Raw genomic sequence first — 12,880 nt, 5'->3', positions numbered from 1 at the left:
GATATTGTAATGGAAGAATAAAAAAATCGTAAGGGGAGTAACTCAGTTTAAAAGATGTTTGTTAGATGTTTTTCAGTGAATTAAGAAAAGATGAGATGCTGTCACAGGCTCTGTCATGGTCCTTAGAAGCATGTCTCTTTACAAGTGTGGAGGTGATGCCCATTTAAAGCTTATCATTATAAGGGTATCTTTGTCTAAGAAAAGGACTGCCATGTTGTTTCAGTTTAAATGTCTGTGGATTTCTGATTCCAGAGAATTATTTTGATATCAGGGATATTTGTTGTTTTGAAAAACCTGGCTGGCAAATGCTTTTTAAAAAAATCAACTCATTACTTGGTTTTTATGTATAAGGGTAACACGTGACATCCAAATATTTCATTTTGTATAGCTTCATGTCTTAAAGTTCTGATATAAATTGAGGGCTTGAAAATGCCATCTCCAGCAAAGATGGTGATGCTCTGATGGAGAGAAAAGAGGTGGCAAACCGCTCTGCACTGGTGAATTCAACAGAGAGGATGAAGCAAGGCAGTGTGCCGGACACCCCCATCCCCGTTGCCCAAATCCTCCAAAAGAACATATTCTCACATGTCACTGCCAAGAAAATAAGGTCAATATGCATCTAAATAAATTACAAAAGACCCTTACTGTGCAGTAGGCAGCCAAGCCTCGAGGCGCCATGCTGAGTTTGGAGGTATCACCAAATGTGCTGGCTCTGTGGGAGAACGGCTTTCTCTTCCTCACCGTGGTGGGAAAGAGAAGGCTGCTGTCACTGTTCTTCCACTGCCATCTTTGCTGACAAGATTTGGAGTGACAGTGGCCTGTGGCTTCATCAGTTGAGAAAAGCACAGTAAATTGGCAGCTACTATAATGGCAAGTATGTCTACTTCCCTGCCTGACTCCTTTTGGAAAAGAGCACAAGAGCATATGAAAATTGTGCCTCATCCTCTGACTTATATGGGCAAATGCACCTTCTCTGTTGACCTGTTGATTATGATGCTTATGCCTCCCTTGACTGCCTGGGTCTATAATGATAGGCATCATAAAACCAGATAGAAACACACAGTCATGACTGCAAACATTCATTCACATAGCAGAGGCTTAACAGTCCAAAGTACCAAGCAGATCTCATTTGACTTTGTAGTAAGGTTTTATGTGTAATCATGACAGATGTTCAGGGAGATTATCTTTTTCCATCTCCACCCTGCCTCTCTGCAGCTTGCTCACACAGGACTCGCTCCAAAATACCCTCTCTTTTGCAAACAGATGAAGCTTGAGGCCTTCAACAGTACGAAGTCAACATTCTACTCATCAAGCATTTGCTTTCCCAACAGATGAATGCTCCTTTCTCTTAGGCCAGTGGCAGGCTGCCCTGCAAGTCCTGCTTGGCTTTTTGTGCCAAGAGCTACCTGATGCCAACCAGAGGCAACTTCAAAGCTACTTTATGTCATAACAGAACTTTAAGAACTTGTCCCCTCTAATGATGCATACTGGATAGTAAAGATGTTTTGGATGTGTATTTACTTTGTCGCTAATCTCCCTTCAGGGGTTTAAAAGTGAATAGGCATAATAAAATGCTTCTTGCTGTTTCTCTTCAAATTTAGGGATTGACTGCACCACATGCTTTCTCTAGGCTTATTTGGTTATCTCTAAGTAAAGGCTTTTCTCCGCCAAAGTTCTCAATTTCCAGTGATACTTGAAGAGCATTCTGTTTGACACAGGCATTTCTCAGTCCAATTATGACATCTTATAACATCATCCAATATTTTCTTTTCTAAGATTGGAAAAGGAAAAACAAAGGCATAAGGATCTCTTTGGAAAAATTTTCAAAGCATGGGTTAAAGACCTATTTGGACCAATAGATAATGCCTTTTCTCTGTTTCTATTTTGTATTGTTTTTTGTTTTAAACAATGTTCCTATGTTTTGGCATTTCCTCTTTATTTGTTTGCATTTTCTGTGTTAAAAAGAAGGTATGTTTAGGCCTTATCTAGAAGGCACACACATTTAAATATTAAAATATCTCCCATGCAAACATATTTGGAATAGGAGGAAAAAACCAGGACATTGTAAATGAAGAAATGCTTTTATAAATTCAGTGTGGTCCTCAGGGTACTCAGGAAGCTAATTAAGAGCATCTCATTCCCTCTGTGGGTAATCACTTGAAATACAGAGCTTAACAGAACAGGGTATCAGGAATATAAGGAGAAATGCTTATCAATGGTCCCTGTTTCCTAAGAAGCACCCTTGTTGCCATTCAAGTGCCACACTGCACAAGTTCCTAAACTATGAATGACGCTAGGAATCTTCAGGTTGGAATTTATAGTCGTGTGGGACAAGAAAATTATCCAGGTCACCCCTTCTCATTTCAGTCGTGGAAGACACCAAAACCTAAAGGGGCTGAAGGAATTGTACAAAGTCACACAAAACATTAGCAAGTAGAAATTAGACCTCAAACTTCCTTGACAATTATTTCTTGCTCTAGGTTCCAAAGGAAATGATTCTCAGAAGACTTTATTTTCTTTTTTTGGAGGTCTCAGTACCATGCCATTCCACATTGGACATTTTCTGAACCGATAAACTGTATGGTAAAACAACAGATTCATACAAACTCATTTTGATTGGTTATTTCTTTCTTTATGTAGTTTCTTTTTTGATTGTCTTCCTCGTAAATTTAACATGGTCCCAATTGTAAATAAAATCAAGTGATCTGTTTTAAATTGACTTCTGAGTACATGTACTGGGATCTGTGTTCTAGGAAGACACCATATCTCTTGGGCTTTGGTAGACACAGATTGATTAGGTGCCATGTATCTCACATAGAGAAGATGTGATTCAGATAGAAAATGAAGGATCTCACTAGCCATAAAAGAAAGAAACAATATTACACAGTTAAAGTCTTGCCAACAGGACCAAAGTATGGCTCTACAGTCTTTGTGGTCTGAGACACCTCTCTGTTCTATTCCTAAATTTCAAAATTGATTCTTCTGTATTTAGTTCTTGGCAAGATTATCAGACAAGCCAATCTGTAGGATTGTTTGAATTCCGTATGTTTGGCATTTGAATTAAAGTAAGGATAAATTATAACATTTAAAGTTCTTTGAGGCAAGAGTTTGAAGGTCCTCACCCCCTTTTCTTTTATTACTTACTATTTGTCTTCGTTGGCTCTGATGATGTATTTTCAACAACATGGAGCTAATAATGACATAATAATAACTATTAGTTCAATCTATACATTGGCCAGTTAGTTTCATTTGATTTTATGGCCATTATTTTTAGGCCACACATCTCACCAACTTCTACTTTTAATTGCAATGGAGCTCAGATGACAGGGTGCAAATGGTTGAATGAAAAGGAATCACCACTGTTAGAGATAGTCCCCACCAATGGGATGCGAAGAGAGAAACAGACCATAATGATAGAATCAGGCAATAGTGTTCCTCCTGCAGAGGAAAAAGGGAAAACCATAAAGAATTTGAAAGTCCTACACATACTTAATAGATTAAAGACCTTTAATGTTGTCAAGGGTCTGAAGTTCCATTGGGTCTATTTGCTCTTGGATAATGGGTGCAGTATTTCTGTCTCTAAACTCCTTGGGACACCCTAGGCAAGCTGGCATTCGAAGCAGTTAGCCATACCCCTGAATCCAAACAGTTCTATTTAATAAATCCCTATTTCTGTCCACTGTGCTGAAGAAAATTCTGTTTATTGGATGTAGTAATGAAAGTGGAAATATGACTGGCCGTCTATTCCCTTCTGCAAGCCCCCTCAGGTTCTGGGTTGACTAATGTCTGGGGTCTCCGTCTTAGACCACCTGCAGTGATTCTCACCTCCAGGTATTCATGCCCCTGTGTAGTCCTCTTCCCTTGAGTGCAGATGGGACTTGTGACTTGCTTCTAAATAATAGAATACAGCAAAGATGATGAGATCACTGATGTAAGTTTGGTTTTGCTAGCAGACTCTCTCTCTCTCTCTCTCTCACTGATTTTAATAAAACAAGCTGCCATGTTGTGCACTGCTGTATGCAGAGGCCCATGTGGCAAGCACGGAGAGAGCCTTTAGACTGACAACCAGCAAAGAACGGAGGCCCTTAGTTTCCCAGTCCACAAAAACCTGAAGTCTTCCAGCAACTGTGTAGGCTTTGGAAATAATTCTTCCCCAGTTGAGCCTTCAGGTAAGACTTCAGGCCCAGCCCACATCTTCATTTCAGCCTTTTGAGATACCCTGGTGCAGAGGACCCAGCTAAGCCATGCTTGGACTCCAGATGCATGAAATTTGTGAGATAACAAATATGTGTGACTTTATGCTCGCTTGTAGTAATTTGTTACATAGCAATGGATAACTTAGGTGAGTCTTGTTATCAGTTGTGAGCGTACAGGTAGCTACTTGTTTGAGCTATTTGCATGCTGCACTGGGCCCCTTCATAATCACTCTTCTTAGGTGGAGGCTAAAAAGTCAACTCAGGTCTCTGTGACCCTTTCTAAAGAGCAGGAATCTATATTAGAATCCCTCTTCTGTCAGTTCTATCTTTGTGCTTTGAGTGTTCCACCTTCAATGACTGAGCCTAGAGACAGGAACAGATTTGCCAATGGGGACAGGAGAATGGAGGAGCTTAGCTTTAGTGGTCTGAGAATAGAGGCAAGTTTTCCCTTGTAGACAGCAGAAGAGGGAATTTTAATCCCTTAATTGTGATATTAATAAAATATCTTTTTATTAAAACATTTCTCCTGAGACCATAGCAACTTTTATGATTTCTGCAAGTATGAGACACCCAAAACCTCCGCCAAAGAGCTCAGGAATGCATTTGGCATAGGATGGTTTATTTATAAATTAGGAACCCAGAACTTTGGCTTTCATAAAAAATTGGTAAAACCTCATTCCATTTGGACATTGTAATAAAAATATCCACTTGGTTAGTCTCAAAAAATTTCCAGGAGAAAATGCAGTGAGCTTTAATGCTGAGTGCAGTAGCCTCTTTGCTTCATACTGGCATTAGTTTGAAGCTTTCTAGCTCGTACTTTTTACTAAGAAGGCCGAAATAGATTATAGGTTGTTTTTTCTGTTGCTGAGCTTTTTTTCCCCAATTGCTCTTCTGAGAGAAAATTGAGTGTATGACAGGAAAGACAAGCATGAAACCTTTCATAATCCAGGCTTGTGTTCTCAGGATATTGTCCTTGATATATGAGGCTGCTCATTGAGTCTTTCCTGGTGTTTATTTATTTGACCACATTTCCCCAAACTTAAATGCCTGCATTAATCAATACTGAGCTTCTCCACACTGAGTCTGCAGAGCTCATCAAGATGAGAACTTTTTAATTTTAAAATAAAAAATTCCTGATATATACATAATCCTTGAAGAAATAGCAGATCTATTACTGGCCAATAACATCAACAGTTGAGTTTTATTTTTGTTCCCTATTTTAGGGTTACTAATAGGGTTGGAGTGAGAAGAAAAGCGTTTACTTAGAAACTTATTAAAGAAGCTGGGATTCTTCAGGAGTTTAAGGCAAAGGCACAATTTATTCTTTCTTCATCACCTCTTTCATTCAATAAATATTTGAGCTCCTACTGTGTCCCACAAATTGTGTGGGTGGCTCTTGGGCTGTCATGTGAACAAAACCATCCTCCTGGCAAGGAATTAACAGTATAAGGGGATGAGATACACAGTAAATGACAAATATAATGGAGCTTGATAAAAGTTACAGTACTAACCCCATATATAAGGAAAGACTTTCTGTTATGAAAATAAATGACAACAAAACCAAAGAAGCTCCTAATGATTCATCTGACTGTGAAACTTGAACTAGCACTTTTTAGCTCACACAAAATTCATGTTCTGTATCAGCTCTGCTGGAAGAAGTGCAGGTAGGCTTAGGGGATAAAAAAGAGGTCCATGAGATGAAGAGAAAAGGCCTGAAGCACTCTTCTTGGCGGTCAGAATGTTATTATTTAAAATGCCACTATTTCTTTTTCAATCTGTTTAGTTTAATTTTTGCTTTATTCTCAAAATAAAATGAATTTTAAATTAGTGGGCAGAGCATGCATTTTAAAATATCATTAATTCAGTTAATATTATTGAGCACCTATCTTGCACTGGCACTTAGAATTTAAGAAGATTGGTACTGTCTTGTAGTTGGGAGATAGTTAATTCTTAAAAACAATGATGAACACTTATCTTTCTATATATGTACATAAGTAATTCTAAATATGTGGCTTCTGTGTATGATAGTTTTTTAATATGTCAGCTTAGTCTAAACTATGAGGATGAAAGAGAGGTCAGCAGCCATTTGGTAGCATACACACCTTCTTCTAGTGACCCAACCAAACGCAAATTTAGGCGCTGCCGTGATGGGATTTTGCAGGTGTAATTAAAGTCCCGAGTAATTTGGCTTTAAATTATGGAGACTATTCTTGGTAGGCCAGACCTTTCCAGATGAGCCCTTAAAAGGGGCTGAATTATTCAAGGCAAAAGAGTTCCCCAGAGCAGCTGGGTCTACAATTACCCTCTTTTTGCTGGATCTGCTCTTCCTGACTGCCTGCCCTACAGATTCCTAAATTCCTTGTAATAAATCTGTGTGTGTGTGTGTGTATGTCTCTCTCTCTCTCTCTCTCTCTCTCTCTCTCTCTATATATATATATATATATATATATATATATATATGTCCTCCTGATTCTATTTCTGTGGTTGCATCCTGACTGATGCACTGAAATTTAAAAACGATACTGTGACTTCATTTAACTTGTATTTTATGCTCTGAATGACTATCATTACTTATGAAACTGGGAAAACATTGTTCATAAATCTATGCAAAAATAACCCAAATATATTTCATGAAGTCTGGTTGGCCCCCAGTGCATTGGCTTTGCCTAACATCTTTGGTTAAACTGTGAAAGGCATCTGGCCACCGGGTGAATTGCCCATGTGATTCCATCACCATTGCGCGTGCTTGCAGCTTGTTCTGGCTCTGTTCAGGAATGGTGGGTCTTTCCAGCTGGCTGGGTGGGAAAGCAGCATGTGCCAAGCTCTGCTGGAACGTTTTGAAACAACATTGCATATAACGTAATTAAGTAGGGATGACTGAAGACTTAATGCCTTTACCAACTAGAGTCAAGTCTAAGCTGAACCCACAAGCTTTATCTTCTTTGTATTTTTAAAGGAAATAACATAAAATTTATGAAAAACTGGACTTCTTTGCATCCTTTTGATACCATCAAAATGTACACAATTCTTCAAATTTATTTGATTCTATTTTTATAACTTCCCTTATTATTGATTGTGAAAGAAGTATATACTCAAAAAATCAAAAAGATAAAGTATAAGGATTAAAAACCACCATAATTCTACCAGAGGTGACTATGGTTGTGACCTTAGTTTTGCAGCCTTTTGTTTGTTTGAGGCAGAGTCTTGCCCTGTCGCCTGGGCTGGGGTGCAATGGCATGATTTTGGTTCACTTCAACCTCCGCCTCCCAGGTTCAAGCAATTCTCCTGCCTCAGCCTCCCAAATAGCTGGAATTACAGGTGCCCGCCACCAAGCCTGGGTAACTTTTTGTATTTTTAGTAGAAGCGGGGTTTCACCATGTTGTCCAGGCTGGTCTCGAACTCCTGACCTTGTGATCTGCCTGCCTTGGCCTCCCAAAGTGCTGGGATTACAGGCATGAGCCATCACGCCCAGCCAGTTCTTTAGTCTTTTCATTGCATATCTAAGCCATGCTCTCCCCACTCGACTGTGTATCATAGGAGGCTGACCCCTGAAAATTCTGTTTCTCTGATTTTTTTGCCAAATGGCTTCTGACAGTTTCAGCTGACAGAAGGTCTGGTGGGAAGATGGGAGGACTTAGGCTATCTTTTGATCTCCCTCTCTGTCAAAGAGTCTGTGTTTCTGGCAGTGGTTCTAGATCCCTCCAGAAAACCCCATCCTTTGCGGTGTTGTCATCAGCAGTCCCTGACTGTATTCTCTAGCTCCTCTTGTGTGGCCCTGGCTCCTAAGATCTGATAATATCATTTCCTTTTTTTTTTTTTTTTTCCATCCCTCCCAGCCCTAGGTGTGGTAGTGACTTCGGATGTTTTTACTCACTGGTTTGCTTATTTTCCCCTATTTGGCTTTTGAGTTCTTCTAACACCTTTATAAATTAGTTCCCACAAATAAAATTCTTCTACTAAGCCACCAGACAAAGGCACCCCATTCTTGAACAGTCCATTGATAAATCCATTTGCTCTCAATACGAGTGCTTTTCTGTGGCCTTATCTTGTAAAACCTACATCTTATTTTTTATCGGCTTTATTGAAGAATAATTTACATATAACAACATTTACCAGTTTTAAGTGTACAATTTAATGAGTTTTGACAAATAGATACAGACGTGTAACCACCACCACACTCGTAGTATAAAACGTGTTCATACCATTCTAGCTTCCCTTGTGCCTCTGCAGGGTCAATTATTTCCCTCCACCCCAGCCTCCTGCAACCACTCATCTGTTTTCTAAAACTTCCTATTAATGGGCTCAGACAATATATTGTCTTTTGTGTCTAACGTTTTTCATTTCACATGATACTTTTGAGATAGATTTGTACTGTTGCATATATTAGTTTATTTCTTTTGATTGATGAGTAGTATTCCATTCTATAAATAGACCACAATTTTCTGTTAATTCACCAGTTGGATGATACTGGAGATACTTCCAGTTTTTAGGTATTTTAGATAAAATTTCTATGAACATTAGAGTTTAAGTCTTTTTGTGGATATCTCTTTTTCTTTACTTGGAATCTTTAAGAGTGGTATTGTTGGGTCTTCTGGTAGCTATGTGTTTAACATCATAAGAAACTGTCAGGAAGTTTTCCAAAGGGGCTATTCCAATTTTCATCCCCATCAGTGGTTTATAAGATTTTTATTTACTTCACATTCACTACTTAGTATTTTCAGTCTTTGTAATTTGTCCATTCTGGTAGGTATGTAGTGATACATTGTTGAGGTTTTAATTTGCGTTTCCCTGGTGACTAATGATGTCAGACATCTCTACCTGTGCTTATTTGTGATTTGTATACCATTTTTGGTAAAGTGTCTATAAAATATTTTGCTCATTTTTAATAGAGCTGTTTATTTTCTGTCTGAATTTTAATTGTTGTTACATTTTGCATACAAGACTTTTGTGTTTTGTAAATATTTTCTCCCATTCTGCAGCTTAAGTTTTTATTTTCTTAACAAAAATATTTATAAACAAAAATAATATTGTCTTTAAAGAGTAAAATTTAAAAATGTTTGACCTAGATTATATTACATTGGCTATATAGTATTCCATTTCATGAATATGCCATAATGTATGACCAGACTTCCTGTTTCCACAGCTTCACTGCTTGTGTGAGTTACTTGTGTCATCTTACTTAGCAATGTGCTATGATTATTTAGGATGGTTGTGCTTTTATCTGATATAAAATTAAATATTTTTAACTCAGTGGGCTTTTTCATGGAACACTTAAAAAGCAGTCTCTAAATCACTTGAACCCGGGAGACGGAGATTCCAGTGAGCCAAGATTGAGCCACTGCACTCCAGTCTGGTGACAGAGCGAGACTCTATCAAACAAAAACAAAAACAAACAAACAAACAAACAAAAAGCAATCTCTAAATCACACTGGCAAAATTCTTCTAAGGCAAAACACATTTCCATCTCTCACTCTCTCTCATCCTTTTCAACCTGAGGTCTCAGGATTCCTGTTAAAATGTACATTTAATACTGTAAATATCTTTTTCAAAAACTTTGAACATGTTAAAATCATACTAATGCCTCTGAATCATCATGGTCAATTGATCATATGCATTTATTAAATTAAATGACAATAAAGGGATAAAAAGTTACAAGTCCAAGAGAACCAGTAAAATGAAAGGAGAAATAACAGCAGAGAAGGAATCGAACAGGTTTTTTTTCCTTCTATTTTTTAATACATGGAAATCACATTGATAAGTAATAATGAATGAGCATAAGGAGGGAAGCAACACCATAGGTGTTAGAGGAAGATATTAATGAGAAAACAGTTGACTTTTCATATGGAACTCTGGAAGTTAAGAATTAACCAGTGGTAGGGGCTGTTGTTCCCTTGTCTGCAGGATTCTTACATCTAGCCATGCATCCTCATCGGGCAGAAAAGGAGATTTTACTCCCTGAGAACTGAAAAACCTGAGAAAAAAATCTCCAATATAGTATTCTGGATGTCCCTCTAGTGGAAAAAAAACAGCTTTACCATCCTCCCTTGAAGTCCCTTCCTGCGCGCCATCAGAGTCTGAACGCATTAGTGCTCTAGGTGAAGAATTAATGAATGACCAAAGAGTACAAGATTTCAGAGGAAAGCTTTCTACCTAAAAGAGAAAAATTATGAATCTGCAAGAAGCTGAGATAATTCAGGGAATAAGAAAAACATGTAAAAAGATCTTTAAGGGATATTCTAAGTTGAATAAGTGAAAAAGACTAATTTAGGTAACAAAATGAAGATGATATAAAATAGATACATTCAGATAACAACAAAGAGCTCTCAGAAATAGAGGAAATATTATAAATAGATAAATTTTATAAAGTAATTGAATAGTTGGATCATAAGGTCAAAGAAGTCATTCAGAAAGTAATCCAAAAAGTCAGGAGGGAGTAAAACTAGAATAGAGATTTAGGAGGTTCAGAGTCTTATTAAGTGGATTATAGATACAGATAAGAGTAATCACACAGAGAAGAAAGTTATAGAAATAATACAAGAAAAAAATTCCAGAACTGAAGAAACTAAGTCTCAAAAAGATTAGTCTGACAGAATGAAAGAAAAAAGCCAACTATTAAACTGCATTATCACAAAATCTTAGTACCTTTGCGACAAAGTGAAGATCTTTAAGCTTTCAAAAGAGGGAAGAGAGTGCACATACACAGGATCTGAATGGAACAAGATCTCATACCAAAAAAAAAAAAAGTTGGAATCAAGACACAATGGAACAATGGTTACAATATTCATGGTGAAAATGATTTTCAGTTATCCATCAGGGATAATAATAGAATAAAGATTTTTTTAAACAACTCAGATAATTTATTTAGAAAGTAGAAAACAAAAAGTTTGACTCTAACGTCTATTTAGAATATGAACAAAATTAGAAACCGTTAAACTACAGAAAAAAAGGCAGAGATACTGAAGTTGGCTTAATGGCTATCCAATACAAACAGGCAAAACCCAAGTTACTTTCATGCAAATAAGCATTAAGGAAAAGAATATGGGAATGTTTACATAATGTGTCATGGCAAATATTTTTCAAATTTACATAAGAAACTGTACATAAATGAGGTAATTTACAAGAAATGTTTTACAGGTTACAATAGGATATAATTAATTATGAATAAAATTTGTAGCACATCATACATTTTTACATCACAGATTCAGTGTTAGAAGAATTCAGACATGATAAAACTTAGACTTGACAAGAATAATGTAATAGACGGAATAAGGCAACTTAGACTGAAATGGCATGTGTAAGTAAAATTAATCCCCAAATTAAAGGATTCCTTAGATGGGACATAATAACTTCTTCTAAGTATGATTTGGTCAATAACTGGGCATTTAGATAAACGCCATTCAATTTTAGTTAAAAACTTAGATTTAGCTGTAGTTTAAATAAAAAGTAAAAGCACACGGTGTATAAAAAATAATAAAAACCACCTTAGTATCACTTATATCCTAATACTATTAATTATATTTGGGACAAGCAGACTAGAATATTGGTGTTATTCTATAAAGTTACTTTCTATTTCTAAATGCTATAAACTAAACTAAAACAGGTTCCTCAGAAAAAAAGTAGCAAATTCCAAAATGGCTTAATACCTGTGACAACTATTGACTGAGCCAGGTATGACATTGATGAAATTCAGACATAATGTAAAGTTGAGATATTTTCCAGCATGAAAAACTCAAAACATGTAACTTTAGAGCGCACTTTTTAAAAAAGTTACTGGAGAATACATTTCGGCAAAATATGAAATGAATTTAAAAATTGAAAGACCTAAGATTAATGAAAAGTGTCCCAATACTGGAGAGTAATGAAGGGGCATTGAAAGATGTTGATAAACGGAAATTCTCAGACTACTGCAGTGAAGCAGAGTAAAAGAGAAACCCGTCCAGACTGAAGCAAGCATTCCAGGGGCTCTGGAAGAAAACACATAAAAGGAAAAAAGCGAACTGATTTTATGTATGTAGAAAATATATTTTATATATGCAGTAGATTTTATGTATGTATACATATACACATATCACTCAACTGTGCATTGAATAACACTTATCCAGACATAATAAAGACTAACTTTTATTTAATATATTAACATTTATGTCAACATGTATGTCAAATATCATATATTGAACAATAATATATAACATTTTGTTTAATATATTAACATCCATTTATGTTAATTAGGAGTATGGAGGCAGATGGGTAGGTGGGATGTGGGATAATGGTGGTATAAGAGAGATAAATCTTTATTTACTATAAAACAAAGTTGACAGATAATTCCTAAAACTAAGAAGTTAAAAATAGCAGTATAAATACATTTTAAAAAGTATGAAGCTGTCCCTGTACAGATGCCAAAATAAATATAGAAGTAAACATTGAAAGGAACAGCTAAGAGGGTTGAAAGTGGTTGGTCTTTGGGAGTGAGAATTGGTAGTGGAAAGGGATGGAGCAAGATTTGCCATTTTTCATTATAAACCATTTAGGAAAATATAAATTTTGTGCATGAATTATTTTGAAAAATTATTTAAAAATTTGGATCCTGGGCTTACAATATGTATATTGTATTATCGCTATTAATTTCTGGCTAATTTTCAGGGAGAATAAATGAAATAAAATCAAAATCTTTTGATATATCTTAA

The sequence above is a fragment of the Homo sapiens genome, chromosome 18 (genome assembly GCF_000001405.40).
Source record: "Homo sapiens chromosome 18, GRCh38.p14 Primary Assembly".
Lineage (NCBI taxonomy): Eukaryota > Metazoa > Chordata > Mammalia > Primates > Hominidae > Homo > Homo sapiens.
The sequence above is the reverse complement of the archived record's forward strand: the minus strand, read 5'-3'. Positions refer to the sequence as shown.